At 42.3% G+C, this 25,247-nt stretch overlaps 1 protein-coding gene across 1 annotated transcript in view, besides 3 other annotated features; it reads left to right on the forward strand.

The window, feature by feature from the left end:
- DIP2B (disco interacting protein 2 homolog B) overlaps positions 1–25,247 on the forward strand; it is a 243,673-nt gene that overhangs the window by 69,714 nt on the left and 148,712 nt on the right. The gene's annotated exons all lie outside the window — the stretch shown is intronic.
- Positions 763–862: an enhancer, noted in NCBI's record as "active region_6358". NCBI's record gives its function as "activates an Ori minimal core promoter by ATAC-STARR-seq in GM12878 lymphoblastoid cells {active_cell/tissue: GM12878}" and the evidence as "EXISTENCE:reporter gene assay evidence [ECO:0000049][PMID:35858748]".
- Positions 4,744–4,883: an enhancer, noted in NCBI's record as "active region_6359". NCBI's record gives its function as "activates an Ori minimal core promoter by ATAC-STARR-seq in GM12878 lymphoblastoid cells {active_cell/tissue: GM12878}" and the evidence as "EXISTENCE:reporter gene assay evidence [ECO:0000049][PMID:35858748]".
- Positions 5,284–5,483: an enhancer, noted in NCBI's record as "active region_6360". NCBI's record gives its function as "activates an Ori minimal core promoter by ATAC-STARR-seq in GM12878 lymphoblastoid cells {active_cell/tissue: GM12878}" and the evidence as "EXISTENCE:reporter gene assay evidence [ECO:0000049][PMID:35858748]".

Genomic DNA, 25,247 nt, shown 5'->3' on the forward strand with positions numbered 1-25,247 from the left:
AGGAATGAATGTTCCCATCTGGTACTTCGTTCCCTCTTCCATGCATGGCTTTTATGAAGAATGGGTTGGTGCCAGGGTAGGAGAAGTAGCCTGACTAGGCCAATGAGCAAACCTTTGTTTTAGGGAAGAGACCTTGTAACAATTGGCCTCTTGGAAATTGCAGCCAAGGTTTGTTTATCGGAACGATGGGAATTTGTCCTTAGGCAGTCCTCTTTGCCTTTCTGAAACATCTGTGATTTAGTATTATTTCTGGGCAATAAGTCAAGGTCCACAACTTAGTTTTCTGTTGTCCTTTAACATTTTAAAATATGCCTACATCTCTTTCATTTTTAGTTTTCTTCACAGACTCCTTTTGTTTACCTCCCTCTCTGGTGTTTTGCATGATTATAGCTAACTTTCTTTTCTTTCGACATTCTCCCCTTGGACACAGTTTTAACTCTTTCATATCTTGGTGGTTACCAGATCTCTGTCTCCAACCCTGACCTCTGTTCTGAGCTCCATATTTGTATCCAGCTCTCTATTTAGCAGTTCCATCTGGGCTGTCTAAAACTAAACTCTCTTCTAGCCACCCCCACAACAACAACTCAGAAACCCTTGCCTTTTATTTTGTGATACCACAGCCTTTTCATTAGTTTAAGCTAGAAAGGGAAAGCTGGGGGTCACCACAGGCTTGTTTTTTTTTGTTTTGTTTTGTTTTTTTTTGAGACAGGGTCTCGCTCTGTCACCCAGGCTGGAGTGCAGTGACGTGATCATGGCTCACTGCAGCCTTGACTTCCCAGGCTCAAGCCATCCTCCCACCTCAGCTCCCAAACTCCAGTCCCCAGCAGCTGAGACTACAGGCACATGCCACTAGGCCTGGCTAATTTCTTATAGAGACAGAGTTTTGCTGTTTTCGCCCAGGCTAGTCTTGAATTCCTGGGCTCAAGTGATCTGCCTCAGCCTCCCAAAGTGCTGGGATTACAGGTGCCTGTGCCCAACCAGGCCCTCCTTTATTGTTTATCTCCTAGGTCAGGGGTCAGCAAACTGTGTCTACTGGGTCAAATCCAGCCAGGGACCTGGCAGCCAATATTTTTTTTTGAGATGGAGTCTTGCTTTGTCGCCCAGGCTGGAGTGCAGTGGTGCAATCTCACCTCACTGCAGCCTCTGCCCACCAGGTTCCAGTGATTCTCCTGCCTCAGCCTCCTGGGTAGCTGGGATTATAGGCACACACCACCACACCCAGCTAATTTCTATATTTTTAGTAGAGACAGGGTTTTGCCATGTTGGCCAGGCTGGTCTCAAACTCCTGACCTTAGATGATCTGCCTGGCTTGGCCTCCCAAAGAGCTGGAATTACAAGTGTGAGCCACCGTGCCTGGCCCTGATATTTTTTTTCACTTTTTTTTTTTTGAGACGGAGTTTTGCTCTTGTTGCCCAGGCTGGAGTGCAGTGGCGTGATCTCGGCTTACTACAACCTCCGCCTCCTGGGTTCAAGTGATTTACCTGCCTCAGCCTCCTGAGTAGCTAGGATTACAGGCACGTGCCACCATGCCTGGCTAATTTTGTATTTTTAGTAGAGACGGTTTCTCCATGTTGGTCAGGCTGGTCTTGAACTCCTGACCTCAGGTGATCTGCCCACCTTGGCCTCCCAAAGTGCTGGGATTACAGATGTGAGCCACTGCACCCAGCATTTTTTTTTTTTACATTTTTAAATGCTTGTTTAAAACAAACAAATATATCTGTGAAAGAGACCACATGTGGTCTGCAAAGCCTAAGTACATATTTACGGTCTGACCGCCCCCCACCTTTTTTTTCTTTTTTAGACCAAGTCTCGCTCTGTCGCCCAGGCTGGAGTGCAGTGGCGCGATCTCGGCTCACTGCAAACTCCACCTCCCAGGTTCATGCCATTCTCCTGCCTCAGCCTCCCTAGTAGCTGGGACTACAGGCGCCCGTCACCACGCCTGGCTAATTTTTTGTATTTTTTTTAGTAGAGACAGGGTTTCACCATGTTAGCCAGGATGGTCTCGATCTCTTGACCTCATGATCTGCCCGCCTCGGCCTCTCAAAGTGCTGGGATTACAGGCGTGAGCTACCGCGCCCAGCCGGTCTGACCCTTTACAGAAAAAGTTAGGCTGCATCTTTTCTAGGTCGAGTCCTATTAATTCTCTCCCTGCAAACATCCCTTGTTATTATTATTTTTTTTTGATACGGAGTTTCGGTCTCGTTGCCCAGGCTGGAGTGCAGTGGCACAATCTCGGCTCAGTGTAACATCCGCCTCCTAGGTTCAAGTGATTCTCCTGCCTCAGCCTCCTGAGTAGCTGGGATTACCACGCCTAATTTTTGTATTTTTAGTAGAGGGGGCTTTCACCATGTTGGCCAGGCTGGTCTCGAACTCCTGACTACAGGCGTGAGCCACCATGCCCAGTCAAGACTTTAAATTTTTAACTTCTTGTTCTTTATCTGTGATCATGGTTTTCCAACTTTACACTCTTAAATTATTGAGGCTCAAAGAGCTTTTGTTTAGGTAAGTTATATGTATCCCTGTTGACCCCATATTAGAAAGTAAAGCTGAGGGCCAGGCGCCATGGCTCATGCCTGTAATCTCAGCACTTTGGGAGGCCGAGGCGGGCGGATCACGAGGTCAGGAGATCGAGACCATCCGGGCTAACACAGTGAAACCCTGCCTCTACTAAAAATACAAAAAAAATTTAGCCAGGCGTGGTGGCGGGCCCCTGTAGTCCCAGCCACTCGGGAAGCTGAGGCAGGAGAATGGTGTGAACCCAGAAGGTGGAGCTTGCAGTGAGCTGAAATGGTGCCACTGCACTCCAACCTGGGCAACAGAGCGAGACTCCGTCTAAAAAATAAAAAAAATAAAAAAAAGTAAAACTGAAATGTTAAAATATTTATCCTAAATAACAATAATAAATTTATTATATTTATATATAATACACTTTTATATGAGAAATAACTATATTTTCTAAAACAAAAAATAATAGGTAGAAAAGCAGTTTTACCTTTCTGTGAATCTCTTTAGTGTCTGGATTCTTATAAATGTCTTTTCATTAATCTGTTATGATAAAGAAAATCTGTCCTCACATGTATCCCAGAAATTAAAGTAAAATTAAAAAAAAAAATCTGGCCTCATGCAGCTATGTAGTTGGAAGAGTCAGGAGTACAGCATTTTAATAGTCTTATCAGATAACTGTGGTTATTCTTCTGTGATACTGCATCAAAAGTCCACAAATAATAACTTCTTAAAGGTTAGTTACAATGTAGATTATGAAACTATATCAGTTAACTTTTCATACTGTGTTACATTTAGATTCATTGATGTGTGTTGCACTATTTTTTTCTTTTGAGACAGGGTCTGGCTCTGCCAGGCTGGAATGCAGTGGCACAATCTTGGCTCACTGCAACCTCCACCTCCCAGGTTCAAGTGATTCTCATGCCTCAGCCTCCCAAGTAGCTGGGACACAGACGTGCACCACAGCCAGCTAATTTTTGTATTTTTAGTAGAGATGGGGTTTTACCATGTTGGTCAGGCTTGTCTCAAACTCCTGACCTCAAGGTATCACCTGCCTCGGGCTCCCAAAGTGCTGGGATTATAGGCGTGAGCCACTGTGGCCGGCCTTGTTTTATACTTCGAATGGATGTGTTACCCGTACATCTTTTTTTTGTTTGTTTGTTTGTTTGAAGATTATGTGTTGGTTATTTGGAAAATAGTTATACGTACCTTCTAAATTTTGACATATTTCATTATATAGAATCAAAAAACCACGCCTGGCCCTAAACAATATTTCAATAATGATATTAAGATGTTATTTGCTCTTTTTTTTTTTTTTTTTTTTTGAGACGGAGTCTCGCTCTGTGGCCCAGGCGGGAGTGCAGTGGCGCAATCTCGGCTCACTGCAAGCTCGGCCTCCCGGGTTCATGCCATTCTCCTGCCTCAGCCTCCCGAGTAGCTGGGACTACAGGCGCCCGCCATCACACCCGGCTAATTTTTTTGTATTTTTAGTAGAGACAGGGTTTCACCGTGTTAGCCAGGATGGTCTCGATCTCCTGACCTCGTGATCTGCCCGCCTCGGCCTCCCAAAGTGCTGGGATTACAAGCATAAGCCACCGCGCCCGGCCTGTTTGCTCTTTTATACTGTGTTAAAGGCTATTTGAAAATTTTATTTTGGCCAGGTGCGGAAAATTTTATTTATTGTTCTTTATCCACAACAATGCATCTCAAACTGTACACTTTTAAATTATTTATACTAATGGTACAAAAGCAATGGTGAGTAAAATTGCTGGAAACAGCACAAATCAAGGTAGTGGCAACCTAGTCCATGCACTCACGGTAAAAGATATTGATTTTAGTACATCTTAATGCCTGAGTCCACATTTTTGTACAATTCTGTGTTGTGTCAAGGAAAAACATTTGTACAATTGTTTGAGAGTTGTGAGCTGACTTTTTAAACATCATTTCTACTTGAAAGAATAAATGAGAGATAAACTATGGTTATATATTTAGATTTGGATGTCAGCCAGATATTTTCTCAAAAATGAATGAAATGAGCCTGTTGCTGGCAGCATTTGTTGACAATTATAAGTTACAGTGAACTGATAGTGATTTTAAGCAAAAATAAAAATTTTAGAAAACCTGAATCTAGGTCAGGCACAATGGCTCACACCTGTAATCCCAACACTTTGGGAGGCCAAGGAGGGCAGATCACTTGAGCCCAGGAGTTGGACACCAGCCTGGGCAACATGGTGAAACCCCGTCTCTACAAAAAATACAAAATTAGCCAGGTGTGGTGGCAGGTGCCTGTAACCCCAGCTAGTCAGGAGGCTGAGGCAGGAAAATCACTTGAACCTGGGAGGTGGAGGTTGCAGTGAGCCGAGATCATGGCACTGTACTCCAGCCTGGGTGATAGAGTGAGACTCCGTCTCAAAAAAAAAAAAAAAAAAAAAAAAAAAAAAAAAATATATATATATATATATATATATATATATATATATATATATATATATATATATATATATATATATATATATATACATAGCTTCATGGACCCCTGTAATTTTGGAGAGACCCCCAGAAACTGTGGACCACATTTTTGGAGAACTGCAGATTGAAAGTAAAGTCATTTCTGACTCAACTGTATTTCCTTCTCACTTCCCTTATTTCTTCTCTTTGCCTTTACTTTTGATGAGATTGGCCTGGTAGGTGTGCTGATCTGGTATGGATACAATTCCTGGTCAGATCTCCACTTCTGACTGGCAGTCTTGGCACAGGCACTGGACAAATGCTGGAAATAACCATGGGCACAAAGGAGAAGACCAGTTCTTAGCTTAACCTAGACCTTGTGGGGCAAAAACAACAGGGAAGGGCCAACCTTGCTAACTTTGTTGGCTTGCTTGTGTGTACATTCAGAAATTGGTCATATCACGTGGACTTGAATCCACAGTGAGACATTAATTGTGAGTCAAGTACTTTCCTTCTGAAGAAGTCTTTAGGGCTCCAGGACAGGAGAGACTCTTAGGCTAAAAAGGGCCCTCCAGAGGTCTCAGCACTACACACTGTTGCCCCAAACCTTCTGAGTTATATCACAGTCATTTCATTCTGATTCATTCTAATTATCTCCAGGTAAAGGGCTCCAGTTTCCTGGCTTTAATAAGCCTTTGGAGTTAAGAGATTTTTCCTTATGAGTACTCCAGATGCCCTCTTTTATAATTTAAGCTAATTTCCTTTAATTTTATTTTTTAAAATAAAAATAGCCAAGAATGGTGCTCCTTATGCTTTTTCTTTATATTTTGCAGAAATTTTATTATCTATATTTTTACTCCAGTCTACTTTATCCTTTCTTTTCTTTTTCCTTTTTTTTTTTTTTTGAGACTGTGTCTCACTCTGTTGCCCAGACTAGAGTGTAGTGGCGTGATCTCGGCTCACTGCAACTTTCTTCTATTTTTAACCCAGTTCCTTCAGTTCAGTTGTTCTGAACTGAGGCAATTTTGCACCCCTCAACCGTCAGGGTACATTTGGCAAGGTCTAGAGACATTTTTGGTTGTCAGAGCTCTGGGTTGGGGGATGAAATTGCTACTGGCATTTAATGGGTAGAGGTCAGCAGAATTACTAATTGTTTTGTTACAGCAATACTTTCACACACTTTATGTTCAAATGATGGAAATATCCTACAGTGCACACAGCACCCTCCATCAACAAAGAATTATCTAGCCCAAAATGTCAACAATGCCAGCCTTGAAGGACCGACCCGGCTTTAGTCCTTCCTTGTAATTTGGTAGCTCTTTCTTAATGTTTTTTGCTGCATTATGAATTCAGTTTTACTTTGTATATTAACTAGAATTGTGGTTTTATTTTGGAGAAACTATTTTGTGTTCGGAATAACTAAATACATTTTAGAGGTCGCTCACTCTTTGGAATTCTGACTTACATTTGTGCTATAGGTCATGCCACATCATTACTTTCTGCATGTGAATGAGCACAACTACTTGATGACTTTCAAAAACACAGATTTCTGGCCCAATTGAGACTTTAAAAGAACTCTTCTGGAAATGCCTGTAATTAGCCAGATTTGGGAATCATTGAAACAGGAATTTATTCATAAGCTAAAAAATAGGCAGGCTTTTAAGACCGCTACTGCATAAAGAAAATGTCCTTTGTGGCTCTCAGAAATAATATCCACCCTCCTGGGCAACCAGTTCTGTCAGTAAAACCAGTCAGGTAACCATCAGGTTGGAGGCGCCCAATAGGAGTGTGATTCTTTCCGGCTGTATGCTGTACAGTTGACCTTGTTTGCCACAAATTAGGTTTCCAAAGAGGGAGAGTAAAAAGAAATGTGGAAGGGGGTAGAGGAGATTGCTAGTAGAATAAAATACTATTTACCATATACCCTAGGAGGGGCCTTACTCAGTGCTGATTTCTCCTCCATAGCGTCTACTTGCTACCCACATTCACCACAGTGGTAGGTGACCTTAAACACTACTTGTGGTGTACGTTATCGTGCCCAAGACAGTGGAGTCACCGGGCAGCACAAGGGATATCCACTCAACTCCTGCTGACTCAGGCATGGTTTGCTTGCCCTGTCCATACTTTACTTACTCTTGGCTGAAAGGAAAGTTAATGAAGATGAGCTCATTTGTTGCAGCAGTTTCATGAGGTATACAGTTAGAAATTTGTTGAGGAAGGGAAGAAAAGATAAATATCTTTTACTTTTTTCTTTTTTGCAGCCAGAATGTAGCCTTTAATACTGATTGAGGCAGAGCTCAGTGTGAGAGCTGTGCGAGCCTGCACTGAATCCTCGAGTTAGGCCCCCTTGTCTCAGGCAGCCCTGGACCTGGGCAGGCCTCCTGCAGAGAGGACACAGGGCATGGTGGAGCATGCTTGATCAAAGAGAAGGGCAGTAACTTTTTAGATGAAGTGAATTTTGTTTGGAAGGATAATAGCTTCTTTTTCTTTTTTTCTGTTTTTTTTTTTTTTTTTTTTTTTTGAGTGGAGTTTCGTTCTTTTTGTCCAGGCTGGGGTTCAATGGTGCGATCTCAGCTCACTGCAGCCTCCGCCTCCCGGGTTCAAGTGATTCTCCTGCCTCAGCCTCCAAGTAGCTGGGATTACAGGTGCGCACCACCACGCCTGGCTAATTTTGTATTTTTAGTAGAGACGGGGTTTCACCACATTGTCCAGACTGGTCTCGAACTCCTGACTTCAGGCGATTTGCCCGCCTTGGCCTCCCAAAGTGCTGGGATTACAGGCGTGACCCACCACACCTGGCCTAATAGCTTTTTTTTCTGATTAGTTATTAAGGAAGCAGAGTAGAATTCTATGAAACATTGTAATATTAGTTTATATTGGAAGTATAAAATAAATACTGGCTCCATCTTAGCCCTCTGGATTTCTTTTATTTTTGTTTTTACCCTTTTTAACGGAGATTTTCAAACATATACCAGAGTAGAACTGTATGGTGAATCTCCATGTACCCATCACCCACCAACAGCAGTGAAAACACATGACCCATCTACTTTCATCTGTGCCCCATCCACTTTTCTTCTCCTGCACCCTCCCCAGCCTCCAGTTATTTTAAAAACATATTTCAAGCATTAACGGATAATTTCACTTACAAGTACGTAAGCTAGTCAGTGGTCGTGTTTCCCCTGATGGTATGCACATTTTTTTCTTTAGTTAGTTGTCTGGTTTCTTTTTAAAAGATGGCTGATAATCAGATGATGTAATCAAATTTTGGGGGTGTGTGGGGTCTATAACATTCTGCTTTTTGTCAGGGGGGCATTTACCTAGATTAGAATTACAAAGATGATGTTACAAATCTAATTCTTGGTATAAATTTAGATAATAAAATTGATTGAAGGAAATGTTTACCGTATACACAAAGTGTTAGTAGGATTCCATGTAGACATAACCACAAGCCACAAATGGGCTTCATTGTTGCCTGGAAGCCCTACTGGTAAATTTGTTTCCTCATGTTCTGAGAGGACTATTACATATCTTTTCCTCAAACCCACACACATGTCCTTTATTCTCTTAGCCAATGGCCTTGTTTCATGCTTCTCTGATAAAATAGAAATCTTTCCAGAGTGATACCCTCATCTTCCCTCCACCACATCTACACGTTTTTTTTTTGGCAGCCAGACTCCTCTTCTATTGTGTCCCTCCAGTTGGTTATAGTGGTGGCGAGTACTTGTTTCATCTGAACCCCCACCTGTGCTTCAGTCCCTCCATTGGTGCTGAGCACCCCTACCTTCCCAAGGCGCTTACTGCTTCTGTGGTCTGCTTTCCTCCCCCATCTGCAGGTGCTGCTTGTCTCCCGGAGCATCCCTATTGATCATAGACAGATGTCCCGATGTAGGATTTTTTGACTTTACGAAGGTGTGGAAGTGATACAAATTCAGTACGGTCCTTTACTTACAGTGGGGTAACGTACTGATAAACCCATCCTAAGTTGAAAATACTGTAAATTGAAAACACACTTACAGTTCATGATATTTTCTATTTACGATGGGTTTATCTGCACATACCCCATCATAAATAAAAGAGCATCTGTGCAGATAACACTCTGGTGTACCCCCATCTTGAGAAATAATCCTTTATTAAATCAACCTGTCTCTCTAGTCAGTGACCCACTTTTTTCTCCCCATGACAGCACAACTCTTGGAAGAGTTGTCTACTCTTTCTTCCATTTCTTCTCTTCCAGTTTCTTTAGACCACTCAGTCCTGGCTGCCATCCTCACTGCTTCACTGAAACCATCCTTGTTGGAAGCACCAAGGTCCCCAGTGAGGGCATCCAGTCATTTTCTGTCTGCCTCACAGACCTATTCTCATTCCCTTTACTTCCATTGCCCAACCTCTGAATGCTGGAATGCCCTGGAGCTCAGTCTTGGGCTTCACTTCTCTTTATTTACACTCTCTCCCATGTGATTTCACCCACTTCCATGGCTTTAAATGCCATCTTTATGTGGATGATTTCTAAATCTATATCCACAGCCAAGGCTCATCCTCTAACTTCCACCTTGATATCAGTAACCTGTGACCCAGACCTCACAGGTACAGAGGCAAGTTCTGACTTTTTCCCCCTAGTCCTTTTTCATTTTAGCAAATGGACCCTAGTTTCTCATGCCTGAAACATGGGAGCCATCTTAAATTTTTCCCTGCCCCTGTCCAGCCCTTCAGCAGTTTTATCAGTTTCACCTCAGTACATATCTCAAATGCATTCACTTCTCTCCGTCTGCATTTCCACCACTAATCACCATCATTTCTCAACTAGAAAACTGCTAGAATTTCCTGATTGGTTTCTGTGCTTCCATTTTTGTCTCTTGTATGCTGTTCTCTTCACAGCAGGCAGAGTGTTCTATTAAAAATGTATTTGTTATTTATTTATTTTTTATATTTCTTGGAGACAGAATCTCACTGTGTGGTCCAGCCTGGAGTGCAGTGGTGTGATCTCACCTCACTACAACCTCTGCTTCCCGGGTTCAAGCGATTCTCCTGCCTCAGCCTCCTGAGTAGCTGGGATTACAGATGTGTGCCGCCACACCTGGCTTATTTTTGTATTTTTAGTAGAGATGGAGTTTCACCATGTTGGCCAGGCTGGTCTTGAACTCGTGACCTCAAGTGAGCTGTCCACCTCTGCCTCCTAAAGTGTTGGAATTACAGGCGTGAACCACCGCGCCTGGCCAAAAATGTTTAACCATATCATCTAACGCTTTGCTTAGTCCTTAATGGCTGCATTACATGTAGAATCAATTACGACTCCTTCAGGAACCTGCCTGCTTCTCCTGCTTCGTTTCTACCTTTTTTCCTGTCCCTCATTATGCTGTGGCTATACTTGTCCTCTTTCACAGCAGGATCTTTCATGCCCCAGGGCCTTGACACTTGCTGTTCCTTCTACATGGACTCTTCTGTTTCTGGCTCTCATCCTTATGCTTCAAGATGCAGATTAAATGACACTTCTTCTGAGAGCCTTTTTCTGATCACCCTTCCCAAAGTAGTGACTTATCCACCTCAATCTGTTCTTTGTCACATTATCTATTTTTCCAGCAAATATTGATTGAGTGCCTATTCTGTGCCCAGCACTGTTCCAGGCATTGGAAATAGAGCATTGGGCAAGGTAGACACACTCAGGAAGCTTATGTATAGTTGGGAGACAAACCACAGATAAATCGTGTGCTGACTGTGACCTGTGCCTTGTAGACAGATGAAGCGTGGGCTAAGGGGATGGAGGGAATTGAGGGGTAGCTGCTCTTCTAGTCAGAGTGGCCAGAGGAGGAGACATTTTGGCAAGGACTCCAATGAAGAGAGAGCATCATGTGAATGTTGGGGGGAAGAGTGTTCTGGCAAAGGAACAGCAGGTGAGGCCTCAAGGAGGAACAAGCTAGGTGCCTTAGAAGACTAGGTCAGTAGGTATGTGGCCAGAGTGGCATGAGGAAGAGCAGAGAGAACTGGCTGAGAAGTAGACAGGAGTCAGATCACTTAAGGCTTCCCAGGCCATGGTAAGGAGTTTAGTTTTTATTCAGAATGTGGGAAGTTTTGAGCAAGGTATAGACGTGATCTAATTTACATTTAAAAGGATCACTCTGTTATATGCAATTAATGCAGAGGTCAAGAGAAGACACAGAGAGACTCCCCAGAAGGTGACTTGCAGTCATCTAAGAGGATAACACTTTTGTCATTATCCTGGGCATTTACTTTTTTTCTAAAAATGAATGTATCTATCACTATAAGCTCTATAAAATCAAGGATCTTATCTGTCTGTTCACTGGAGTTCTTGATACCTAGCATAGTGCCACTTTCAGTGAATACTTTCAATTGAGTGAATGACCTGGAGGTTCCCACAAACACATGGCATTCTGAGAACTCATGCGTCCTAGATGTGGCCCATTTACTTTGTCTCAGGGCATTAGTCTTTTCATGTGTTCTGTTAATACAAGGGGATCAGACCTAGGAGGTGGTCTCTGAAGGCTCTGCCAGCCTCACTGTGGACAACAATATAGCTATTCCTGGTTTTACCAAAATGGTAAAAAAAATTACAAAGGAGGTGAGCATTCAAACAAAAATAAGATTTGCATTTAAAAAGTGATTTCAGCTAAAGTCCTGAGTAGAATGGATTGGAGGAGACAAGAGCCTGGGTTATTTGGAGGATGTAGAGAGGCAGGTCCAGGCAGATGACATGGGGCCTGGACTCAAGTGGCAGTCAAGGAGAATGCCCAAAAAGTGATGGGACTTTCCCAAACTTGTACAGAATTGAGGCTAAAACCTATACTCCCAGTTCCTAGTTCAGCACTTTTACTCTGATACTTTAAAAAAAACTTGAAGAAGTGAGTTTCTTAGAAAAGTTGTTGTAATGTATGCATATGCATAATGACAGTGATTTTACGTAAAACAAACAAACAACATTTTTTATTTGAGATGGAGTCTTGGTCTGTTGCCCAGACTGGAGTGCAGTGGTGTGATCTCGGCTCACTGCAACCTCTGCCTCCCGGGTTCAAGCGATTCTCCTGCCTCAGCCTCCTGAGTAGCTGGGACTACAGGTGTATGCCACCACGCCCAGCTAATTTTTGTATTTTTAGTAGAGATGAGGTTTCACCATGTTGGCCAGGCTGGTCTCAAACTCCTGACCTCAAGTGATCCACCCGCCTTGGCCTCCCAAAGTGTTGGGATTACAGGCGTGAGCCACTGTGCCCGGCAAAAAATTTTTTTAAATAAAAAGCTATTATAAACGTTTTGATCAAAATTTGCCCATATGAAAACATGTTTTTGCTTGTATATGCTTCTTTGGGTGGGTTCTCAAGACATCACCTGACTGTTAAACAGAAGAGGGAATGATATTTTCACTGTATGTGTCTCTTTTGTACCTTTAGATTTTGAACCATGGGTGAGTGTATTATAAAAATAAGTATCCTATTGCAATTAAAACTTAAGTTGGTCTGCTCTTAGGTTCCTTTCACTTCCAGATACAGTCACTTTGTTGTTATACCTCTACACTTTAGGTAGGCAAGCAGGATCTTTCTTCACTGCAGTTTGAAGTGTATAGTGATAAAATCAGAGCTTCCCACAAAGTCCAGGTCCCCTTTTCTCTTCTGTGAACCTTTCCCTGGTCCTTTTAGATTCTGTGGCTAGTCTGTTACTGACTCCACACAGCCTTTAGACCACCCTCTTGTTTTGTCCCTCACTTGCTATATGGACCTTATTAAGATATTTACTTGATGACTAATTAATGCAAAGCTACCTTTTTGCCATTCCTTGTTTTTGGATACCTGCGCTTACTAAAGGTTACATGACGGGGAGGGATCATTTTTCATTAGGCAGCTTGTTAAATTCTGTCCAAAATAAAACTAACTTGATACTTTAAATCATAGAGGTGTATAGAAATGCCTAAGGCCAGATTGTGATAGTCCAGGAATTTGTCAATACTCTCTCAGTATTTCAGTCCTACTTTCTCCATTTTCAATTTTTTTCTTCCTCCTTCAGTGTCTCCTATGTTTTGAGATCTTATATGGAAGCAACAACCCTAAAAATATTTTAACCTTTTACAATTTGTTTTTGAAAGCTGAAAATTAACCTGCATGTTGTCTGCCACTCATGCTTCTCTCTTCCACTCTTCCCACTGGTTCTTTTGAATTTATCACTTACTCATCAAGTATTGCAGGGGTTCTGTATACATTTCTGTTTTGGGGTCTGTCCCAGAGAATAAAAGGACAAAATTTGTTTAAATTCTGACCTAATTGTGTTTGAAAACTAGGTATAGCAAGGAAATTTCAAAAAAATTATCTCGAGATAATTTGCTTTTATAAAAATATATAGGCTTAGGATTTGTTTTGGTATCTATACAATACCAATGGGTGAAAGCAAAGCTAGACTTAAATGCTGTTACTTCTTTCCCTGAACTCCAACCTTGAAATAACACTTTGGTGAAACAGTGTTAGAAATTGATTTGTTGGTACTTCTTTTCTTTTTTTTTTCTTTTTCTTTTTCTTTTTCTTTTTGGAGACAGTCTCACTCTGTTGCCCAGGGTGGAGTGCAGTGGTGCGATCTTGGCTCACTGCAACCTCCGCCTCCCAGGTTCAAGTGATTCTTGTGCCTCAGCCTCCTGAGTAGCTGGGATTACAGGCATGTGCTACCAGGCCCAGCTAATTCTTTGTATTTTTAGAGATGGAGTGTCACTGTGTTGGCCAGGCTGGTCTTGAACTCCTCATCTCAGGTGATCCCCCTGCCTCAGCCTCCCAAAGTGCTGGAATTACAGGCACGAGCCCCCGTGCCCGGCCTGATTCATCAGTACTTATACTGTACTGAACACGAGATTGGGGGTTCCCCTGTACATTTAAAAAATTGATGTGTAGTAGTTATTTCCTTAATAGTCACTTCACTAAAGAGCAGGAGGATGTTTTTTGGGGAATGCTGTCTGAATGAGATACCTTTCTCTCCCCTTGGTTTGGGTTGCTCTGGTGGGTGGAGAACAGATGCCCATAATAAGACCATGTTAGCTAGAATTCCGTCTTAACCCAGCTGCTGGATTCTATATTTACAGCCCCTACTGCCTAGCTGGATTTGTGCCAAACTTTCTGTAGAACATTATAAATTTGGAGGATAGAGGTGGGGTTTGATGAAGTGACATGTAAGAGAAAAATCTCTTAATTTCCAGAATTTATATTTGCTCACCTTTAAAATCAGTTGATTGAATGAGACGATTGCTGTCTCATTAAATTAAAATTTGTTTGTGCTGGGCGCGGTGGCTCACGCCTGTAATCCTAGCACTTTGGGAGGCCGAGGCGGGCGGATCACGAGGTCAGGAGATCGAGACCATCCTGGCTAACACGGTGAAACCCTGTCTCTACTAAAAATACAAAAAATTAGCCGGGTGTGGTGGCGGGCACCTGTAGTCCCAGCTACTCGGGAGGCTGAGGCAGGAGAATGGCGTGAACCCAGGAGGCGGAGCTTGCAGTGAGCCAAGATCGCGCCACTGCACTCCAGCCTAGGAAACAGGGCAAGACTCTGTCTCAAAAAAATAAAATAAAATAAAATAAAAATAAATAAATAAAATTTGTTTGTCTTTGTTTTTTTTTTTTTTGAGATGGAGTACCACTCTTTTGCCCAGGCTGGAGTGCAGTGGCTTGATTCTCCTGCCTCAGCCTCTCAAGTAACTGGGATTATAGGTGCACGCCACCACGCCCAGCTAATTTTGTTCTATTTTTAGTAGAGAGGGGGTTTCACCATGTTGGCCAGGCTGGTCTCAAACTCCTGACCTCGGCGTCCCAAAGTGCTGGGGTTTCAGATGTGAGCCACCATGCCCAGCCATTAATTTAAAATTTGTGGTCATCCTTCAGGAGTAGCCTTTCTGAAGAGGTGACATTTGAGCTGAGACATGAATGAGGAGAGGGAGCCAGTTTATAAGAAAATCTAGGGAAAGTGTTTTTTAGGCACAGGAAATGATTGGTGCAAGGATCTTAAAAAGCTTGGTATATCTGAAGAACTGCAAGAATTGTGAGTCCAGTGAGTTAGGAGAGTGGTGGGAGATCGGGACCATTGACACAGGCAAGCAGGGCCAGATAATGATTGCTCTTGGGGGCCAGAGGGTGTATCCTCTGTGTTACTTAAATTTTAAACAACTGAGTAATTTAGGACCATCAGGAAGAAAAATTAAGAGAGGTTAAGAGAAGACATTTGAATATTCCAGTGGAAATATATGCTAATCGGGGATTAATTATCTTCCAAGATCCTCTTACTGCTTTCTCTCTTTTATCTGTTCTCTGCCTTTTAACTGGTGAAAGTAAGGGGGCAGAGGAGATAGGCATTTCCTGTTTCTCTCTCTCTCTCTCTTTCTCTGTCTCTCTCTGAGATAGTATCTTACTTTCTCAGGCTGGAGTGCAGTGACGCCATCATGGCTCACTGAGACCTCAAACTCCTGGGCTCAGATAATCCTCCTGCTTCAGCTTCCTGAGTAGAAGCTACAGGATCATGTTACCGTTTCTGGATAATTTTTTTTTTTTAATTTTATGTAGAGGTGGGATCCCACTATGTTGCCCAGGCTGATCTCGAACTCCTGGGCTCAGGCGAGCCTTCTGCCTTGGCCTCCCAAAATTCTGGGATTACACTTGTGTTTCTGCTTTCTCTCTGTTTTTGAAGATGCCATTTGTGGCCCCCACTGGAGAAGTAATTGAGGACAGTTGTGGCCCAAGGAGTGATTTTTTTTTTTTCTTTTTCCTGAGACGGAGCCTTGCTCTGTTGCCCAGGCTGGAGTGCAGTGGCGTGATCTCAGCTCACTGCAACCTCCGCCTCCGGGGTTCAAGCAATTCTCTTGCCTCAGCCTCCTGAGTAGCTGGGATTACAGGCACGCACCACCATGCCCAGCTAATTTTTGTATTCTTAGTAGAGATGGGGTTTCACCATGTTGGCCAGGCTGGTCTCGAACTCTTGACCTTGTGATCTACCCACCTCGGCCTCTCAAAGTGCTGGGAATTACAGCTGAGAGCCACCATGCCTGGCATGAATGTTGTTTTAATTGTCACAGCATCTGCTACTAGAGGATCATTATTATGATCATTTCCAGTGAAAGCATGTTTAAAAACAAACAAGAATTTAGACTTTAATATAAAATGTGTAGATTGATCAAAATTTGATGTTATGAAATTTTAGTGTATTTATAGACCAGAACCCATCTAGGAAACTCCACTTTCAAGTTAGATTTCTGTGTGCTATGGTTTGAATGTGTTGCCTCCAAAATTCAGGTGTTGCCAATGTGATACTTTTAAGAGATGGACTTTTAAGAGGTGAATGGACCATGAGGGCTTCTCTCTTGGGAGTGGGATTAAGGCCCTTATAAAAGAGACTTCACACAGGTTCAGCTAGCTTGCCCTTCTGCCTTCTGCCCTTTGAAAACTCAGCAAGAGGGCCCTTACCAGACACCAGATGCTTTGCTGTTGGACTTCTCAGCCTCCATAACTGTGAATAATAAATTTCTGTTCTTTATGAATTGTGCAGTCTCAGATTTCTGTTATAGCAGCACAAAATAGGCTAAGACAGTTTTTTCAAAGAGCAGGAATTCAATAATCTGTTTTACTTCTCCATGGACTTTGAAGGCCAAGAAACTAGAAGCTAAATTTAATGCCCAATTCTTGAACCTGAAGTTATTCTAGCCTTTTATGATATTGATTTTTCTTTTTGTTTACCCATCTGATTTTTTTTTTTAAATCCTAATCTTTTCCCCATTGTATTCCTTTTTTAAAATTCTTGGGGGTGAGATCCAAATTATGCATGATAATTTTTTTTAATTTATTTGAGACATTGTCTCTGTCTCCCTGGCTGGAGTACAGTGGCATGATCTCAGCTCACTGTATCCTTTGCCTCCTGGGCTCAGGTGATCCTCCCACCTCAGCCTCCTGAGTGTATCCTACAAGCACTTGACACCACACTGGCTAATTTTTCTTTTTCTTTCTTTCTTTCTTTCTTTTTTTTTTTAATAGAAACATGGTTTTGCCATGTTGCCCAGACTGGTCTCCAACTCCTGGACTAAAGCGGTCATCCCACCTGGGCCTCCCAAAGTGCTGGAATAACAGGCTTGAGCCACCGTGCCCAGCCATATGATAAAATTCTTATACTACATTGTATAAATGAGAGTTTTTGCATTCTGGCTGCTATTTTACGTATCAGGGGACTAAAACGATATTGTTTATTAACTTTTATTTCTTTATTTTTGTGTGTTTTTTTTTTTTTTGAGATGGAGTCTTGCACTGTTGTCCAGGCTAGAGTGCAGTGGTGCGATCTTGGCTCACTGTAACCTCTGCCTCCCGGGTTCAAGTGATTCTCCTGCCTCAGCCTCCCAAGTAGCTGGGATTACAGGCATGTGTCACCATGCCCAGCTAATTTTTGTGTTTTTAGTAGAGACGGGGGTCTCACCGTGTTGACCAGGCTGGTCTCGAACTCCTGACCTCAAGTGATGCATCTGCCTTGGCCTCCCAAAGTGCTGGGATGACAGGCGTGAGCCACTGCGCCCAGCCGATCTTTATTTTTATTTTTTTAGAGACAGCCTGTTGTCCAGGCTGGAGTATAGTGACACCATCGTAGCTCACTGCAGCCTCGAACTCTTGGGCTCAGGCAATCCTCTTGCCTCAGCCTCCTGAGTAGCTGGAACTACAGACAAGTGCCACCATGTCTGGCTAATTTTTAATTTTTTTTGTTGTGACAAGGTTTCATGTTGTTGCCTAGGGTCAAGCAGTCCTCCTGCTTTGGCCTCCTAAAGTGCTGGCATTATAGTTATCAGCCACTGCGCCGGGCCTTAACTTTTAGATTATTTATTTTCTTTCTTCTTTTTTTTGAGACTGAGTCTCACTCTGTCACCCAGGCTGGAGTGCAGTGGCACGATCTCAGCTCACTGCAACCTCCGCCTCCTGAGTTCCAGCAATTCTCCTGCCTCAGCCTCCTGAGTAGCTGGGATTACAGGCACACGCCACTACGCCTGGCTAATTTTTGTATTTTTAGTAGAGATGGGGTTTCACCATGTTGGTCAGGCTGGTCTCGAACTCCTGACCTTGTGATCTGCCCGCCTCGGCCTCCTAAAGTGCTGGGATTAAGCTGTGAGCCACTGCACCCGGCCAGATTATTTATTTTCTTTAGTGGTTCATAACTAATAGTATGATGCTTTTTTATAAGATCGTGCACCTGAAAGCCTCTAGCCTGTCAGTAATAGGTGCTTCTAAATGTTGGTTTTCTTCCTTTCTTTGAACTCCAAAGCAGTTGGGCATTGTCATATTCTCTAGGCACTGATGGCTGACCTGTTCACTGGAGAATTTAAATATGACAAGTTGTCAGTGTTAGTCCTTGCCATTAGACCTATTCTCCGTACTTCCTGAATTTGCACACAAGGCAACCAAATTTCAGTTTGAGCTAAACTTAAGTTTATGCTTCTACAGCCTTTCTCATTGTTTTATATACTTGGCTGGAATTAAAACCCATACAATAAGTAGAACTTGTGTATAGCCCTAGACTTAATGTCCTGGTTTAAGACCAGAGTGGAGTTCAGTCTTTTAAAAATGTAGAACTTGTTGGCTGGGTGCAGTGGCTCACGCCTGTAATCCCAGCACTTTGGGAGGCCAAGGTGGGCGGATCACGAGGTCAAGAGATCGAGACCATCCTGGCCAACATGGTGAAACCCCGTCTCTACTAAAAATACAAAAATTAGCTAGGCGTGGTGACATGCACCTGTAGTCCCAGCTTCTTGGGAAGCTGAGGCAGGAGAGTCACTTGAACCCGGGAGGCGGAGGTTGCAGTGAGCTGAGATCGCGCTGCTACACTCCATCCTGCCAACAAAACGAGACTCTGTCTCAAAACAAAAAAAAAAAAGGAAACACAAAGCAGTCCATTAAGGATATGTCCCAACCTAAAAATTATTCCACCCATTTTGCAGATGAGAAAGAGCCCATCAGAGATTACTGAATCACCTAAGGCCACAAGTAGAGATGAGATGTGGGCATTATTGGGAAATCAGTAGTTCCTACTAGGAATACACTCTTTTCTCCTCTCCTCTCCCCTCCTCTCCTCTCCTCTCCTCTCCTCTCCTCTCCTCTCCCCTCCCCTCCCCTCCCCTCCCCTCCCCTCCCCTCCCCCCCCCTCTCCCTTCCCCTCCCCTCCCCTCCCCTCTCCCCTCCCCTCCCGTCCCCTCCCCTCCCCTCCCCTCCCCTCTCCTCCCCTCCCCTCTCCTCCCCTCTCCTCCCCTCCCCTCTCCTCCCCTCCCCTCTCCTTTTCCTCTCTTCTCTTTTCTTATCTTTTCTTTTCTTTCTTTGATGGAGTTTCACTCTTGTCGCCCAGGCTGGAATGCAATGGCGCCATCTGGGTTCACTGCAACCTCCGCCTCCCAGGTTCAAGTGATGCTCCTGCCTCAGCCTCCTGAGTAGCTGGGATTACAGGTGTTTGCCACCATGCTCTGCTAATTTTTTTTGTATTTTTAGTAGAGGTGGGATTTCACCCTGTTGGCTGGGCTGGTCTCGAATTCCTGAGCTCAGGTAATCCACCCGCCTCAGCCTCCCAAAGTGCTGGCATTACAAACATGAGCCACTGTACCCAGCCTCCTTTGTTTCTTTTTAAATGTGAGGTATCAAAGCCCAACCAACCCTTCTCCACTGCCTCAATAATTAAGAGCACAGAAACAGATGTCCTGAGTTTGAATATGAACCATGACATCTTTAGCTATTTTCTCTTTGATATGAATTCCCATACCTATAAGAATAGTGTTTACCTCAAGGGATTTTATGAGAATTATTTTAGGTTTAATTTTATTGATGAGGCCTTTACAAGAAAAGAAACTCTTTTGTATTTGGCTGATGTTTCGGTTCAGTTTAGAATTCAGCAGAATTTTCTTTAATTTTGTAAAGTCAATACGTATTAGTGTTAAGCTTGGTACGTGTATTACCTCATATGATATAGTTTAGGACTTACATAACAGTATACTGCATTTATATAAGTGTGAAGCAGCTTACATGATCAGATTATTAATTGAGAGTTCAACATTAATTGTCAAATAGGAAAAAGTCATCGAAAATATCAAAATATATTTAAAAAGTTTAACCCACCTCTAATATTACATATTAAAAGATATTTATGGTTTTATATATAATAAAATGTGCGTTGCTAGTCTGTCTTGGTATTATATCAGTTTATATGTTTTGCTGTTTTTATTTCACATTACTAGTTTTTAGGTAGCGTTATCTGGCTTATTTTAACAATGTGAAATAACTGTCAGGTTTGAATGACAACTCTTAATGGGCTTGTCCTGCAGATTCCAAGATTCACCTTTTTGCATTTAACTGTAATGTAGTACTATGTGCTTTGACATTTTCTTTTTATTGAAAGAAATATCTACTTTGAATAACATGATATGTTTTAAAAATGATTTTCATACTACTGTTAAGTTAAATTGGCCATATAAATTAAGCTCAAGCTTGCATTTTAAAAGGAATAAACACATTCACAGCCATTGGCTCTAATAATGAGAGCAAAACCATGCTGACTCTGGTGATGCGTGTTTGCAAGCTAGTCGTGCACACAGTCGTACATTCTCTGACCCTTTGTGTGGTGGTGAATCTGTTTAGCTAGGAGAGTAAACTGGTAAGGTTTTTCATTTTTTAAAAATTTATTTATTTATTTATTTGTTTTGAGACAGGGTCTCACTCTGTCACCAGGGCTAGAGAGCAATGGCTCCCGATCACAGCTTAGCTCAACTGCAGCCTCAACTTGCCTCCCACTTCAGCCTCCCTGGGTAGCTGGGACTACAGGCATGCACCACCACACCTGGGCTTTTTTGTAGTTTTTGTAGAGGTGGTGTTTCACCATGTTGCCCAGGCCAGTCTTGAACTCCTAGGCTCAAGCAATCTGTCTGCCTTGGCTTCCCAAAGTGCTAGGATTACAGGCATGAGCCACTGAGCCCAGCCAGTTTTTTATTAACAGAAAGTATCAAGTACGTCAAGATTATATTTAATGTGGCCATTGAGGAGAATACTACATACATGTTCCTCTAGAACAGTTTTCTTACTTTGTGACAGTTGAACGTATTCAGCAACAAGTCTGTGTATTGATTTACATTATAAAATAAGCCATTTATTCATAGAAGTAAAATCTCCCATGGACTCAAGTAAAAATGTATGAGAAAGTAAATAAATAGCCTCTGGCACGTGACCTCCTGGGAATATATTGAAGTGCTCCCACCGTCTCCTCCTCCACTCTCAGTCTTGCCTTATCACCCTCAAGGAGTAGGATTTCTTTGTACCTTTGTGATCTCCAGTAGTTCCTGGAACATATCTTTCTGCTGTATGTAAGGAATTTATAATGTTCAGTAAAGCAGAATAATTTGATCATACTTTGCCAATAGGTGCTCCCATCTTCATGTAGTATTCTAGTCTGAGAAGTCCATGGCTGTAAGACTTTGGTTCATGTAAGAAGAATTCAAGGTCATTTATGAGTGCTTTGTAGTTGAAGTTCCATGTTTCCAAATTTACTTGTAAGTAAACTTAGTATATCGAAAGGAGTCTTTAACAGGGATAGAATTGTTTTAGAAGTATAAAAGTAAGAATTATAAGTAGAAACAAAAAATAAAAAATTGGGAGAGGGTCTTATGACTCAGTTTTGACTGTATGAGTTTGGTTGTCTCTCTTGCATGGTGGTAAAAACAGATTAACAAAAGAACAGGTATGGATGGTTGGAGGCAGGTCGTTAATATCCATAGCCAGTCTGGGCTGTGGAATCTTAGAGCTTTTCTGCTCATCTCTTCCTAATGGCTGTATAAGTGCCAGACCAGTCTGAGCTTCACTTTTGACCTGTCTCCAGGACTGGGAACCTCTCAGAAGGTTGACCTGGTTTGGATGATCCTAAAAGAGACAGTTTTCAAGTGGAATTAAAATAGACAGAATTCATGGCCAGGTGCCGTCACTGACACTTGTAATCCCAGCACTTTGGGAGGCTGAGACAGTGGATTACTTGAGCCCAGGAGTTTGAGACCAGCCTGGGCAACATGGCGAAACCCCACCTCTACCAAAAATTCAAAACTTAGCCAGTCTCATAACCCAGTCTCTAAATAAATAAATAAACAGATGAAAAAAATAGACTGAGAATTCGGTAACTAAGGAGTTGGATAACCCAAGATATTTAGATAAATCTTATTTACGTGTTTTTAAAAATAGCTGTCACTTGTCTTGGTTAGTTATATTTCCTTAAAACTTGGTGGTTATTACTTTTTATGAAAGAATCATTAGTATTTACTTTAAATGTAGTCAGATATTTATATGAGTAAATATTTCCACTAACTTCTTTTAGAAATTTAAATTTTAAAAGAAATAATTTAGTTTTTTTGTTATGTAGGTAGGGAAACTTACCAATTTCCCCAGTCTTTTGTGAATTCTATGGCCTTTTAGGCAAAACAAGAATATATACCCAGAGACACCATTTATACCAAGGCACTCCACTACACAAACTCTTCTGCACCTTGTTTTTCACATAATTATCTTAGAGAACTTTCCATGTCAACATATGTAGATTTACTTCATTCTTTTTAAGGGCTCAATAGCACATGTTGGAATGGGGAAACTATTAATTATTTGACAACATAACTACTTAAATCATTTAAAAAATATTTTAAGAAAAGGCATTTGAAAATCTGGCATCTTATATTGAAATCTTTGGATCTTTGTCAGTATCATAGTACTTCATCTAAATAATTTTCTTAGTTTATCCATTGGGCAAATAACTGGAGTACGCAGACAGCAGCTATCTCACTTTTTTGATTATTCTAAACAGGGAAAAGGTTAAAAATAAGAGTGTTACCTTAATATAGCACCATTAGGTGGTGCTGAGCCCTTCTATGCATGGAGGAGCGTTAATACAAACGAGCATCACTTCTTTGAATCAGAGGATGGGATGCGTGTTGTCTGATGGATCTGGGGGAGTTTGAGAGGAGGAGAACACAGCACATGGGAGTCAGTGAGGGTGGCTCATGCACATTTCCTGTTCAGTCCTTGACTGAGTCACAAGTGATACAGACTGGCAAGTGTGTGATGACTGCCGACTCCTGTTTAGCCGAAACAACAGAGTGCTTTAATAGTATTTTAGAGCTGCTTTTTTTGTAATTACATTTTCAGTCTTTGTGCACATAAAGTATGCATTAAAGTGAATTCTCACAATTAAGGAGAAGGATGAAAACTGAACAGTCAAGTTCTTTTGATAGTTTTACTCATTGGCTGAGCTGTTTTCAGTCTTTCAGATTTCCTTTTCTTTATGCAAACTTAGTGAGATAAAGTGAGCACGCTTGCTGAACTGAACGGGGTCACACTTAATTCCTTCAGGTTGGGTCCAGAGCAGCCATATGACTGACTGATGTAAGTTTCAGAAATAACTCAAGTAATTTCTAAATATGAGTTTGATTTAGTTTCTTTAATGCCGTCAAGTCATTTGCACCTACCCCACTTTTGCATTACTGAGCAAAGGACTTTTTCTCTTTCCTTTAGAGGAAGGAGAGACCAGGAATCCTGATCATTTATAAAAACTGGGTTAGCCACATAATTAAGGTAATAAGGATGATACTGTCTTGGAAACATTGGATTCAACCTTCATCACAAGATGTGGCCTTCTTGAATATATATATTTAAAAAAAGTTAAGTAGTTTTAATTCTAGACTTACACCCTTAGGGAGAATCTTAACACAAGTCCTTTTGTTGGCCTGCCTTCTGTTCCTCCCTCACACTACCCTCCTTTTCCCTCCCTCAACCCCCTGATTCCATCCTCTTCCTCTTAGAGACTTCTGGAACATATTATTTTACCTGGCTTTTCCACTACTTCTCACATTGCTCTAAAATGTATCCTTTTGCAACACCAAATTCCTCGTGACTGCCACTGCGTCATCTCTCTGGTCATCTATAAATGGATGCTTTTACAAAGCAGCCTGCTCTCCTTTCTCTAATGAGAATATAAAACATCTCCTTTCCCTTTTTTATTCTTTCTTTCAGTTGCAGCTTTGATGATAATCCTTTACCAGCATCTTCCAAGATGTCTTCAGATCCCCTTCCCTCCCCTCCCCCCTCCCCCCTCCCCCTCCCCTCCCCTCCCCTCTCCCCTCCCCCTCCCCCTCCCCCTCCCCTCTCCCCTCCCCTCTCCCCCTCCCCTCTCCCCCTCCCCTCTCCCCCTCCCCTCTCCCCCTCCCCTCTCCCCCTCCCCTCTCCCCCTCCCCTCTCCCCCCTCTCCTATCCTTTCCCATTGAGTGGACACATTTTTGTCTTTCTTTTGGGTAGATTCCTAGAAGAAGTATTGGGTCAACACATATAAACATTAAAAAAAAAAAAAACTCTTGGCTGGGCACAGTGGCTCAGGCCTGTAATCCCAGCACTCTGGGAGTCTGAGGTGGGCAGATTGCTTGAGTCCAGGAGTTCAAGACCAGCCTGGGCGACATGGCAAAACTCCATCTCTACCAAAAAAATACAGAAATTAGCAGGGCATGGTGGCCTGCACCTGTAGTCCCAGCTACTCAGGAGGCTGAGGTGGGAGGATTGCCTAAGCTCTGGAGGTGAAGGTTGCAGTGAACCGAGATGGCACCACTTCACTTCAACCTGGGCCACAGAGTGAGACCCTGTCTCAAAAAAAAAAAAAAAAAATTAAAATTTAAAAACTCTTGAACAGGCTGAGCACGGTGGCTCACGCCTGTAATCCCAGCACTTTGGGAGGCCAAGGTGGGTGGATCTCCTGAGGTCAGGAGTATGAGACCAGCTTGACCAACATGGTGAAACCCTGTCTCTACTGAAAATACAAAAAATTAGGTGGGTGTGGTAGTGCATGCCTGTTATCCCAGCTACTTGAAAGGCTGAGGCAGGAGAATCATTTGAACCTGGGAGGCGGAAGTTGAGTGAGCCGAGATTGCGCCATTGCACTCCAGCCTGGGCAACAGCGCAAGACTCAGTCTCAAAAAAACAAAAAACAAAACAAAAAAACAACTCTTGAACACTGCAATTGTTTCCCCTGAAGGGATGGTCTGATTTCATTATTTCTTCATTTTAACCAGCTATTCGTATAATATAACATAGAAAGCTTGACAGGGTGTAATCATAGCCTTTGTCCAGGGAACTTGGAGTCACTGTTATTTATTAGTGTAACAGCTATTATCAACACCATTTCTATAAAAATTACCTGTTTTCTGCGATGGCAATAGGAGATTTTTGAGATTATGATCTTTTGTATTGTTTTGCTCTTTTCCTGATCATGTAATTTATGACAACAGTTCTCTAAGGACATCC

The sequence above is a fragment of the Homo sapiens genome, chromosome 12 (genome assembly GCF_000001405.40).
Source record: "Homo sapiens chromosome 12, GRCh38.p14 Primary Assembly".
In the NCBI taxonomy this organism is placed as follows: Eukaryota; Metazoa; Chordata; class Mammalia; order Primates; family Hominidae; genus Homo; species Homo sapiens.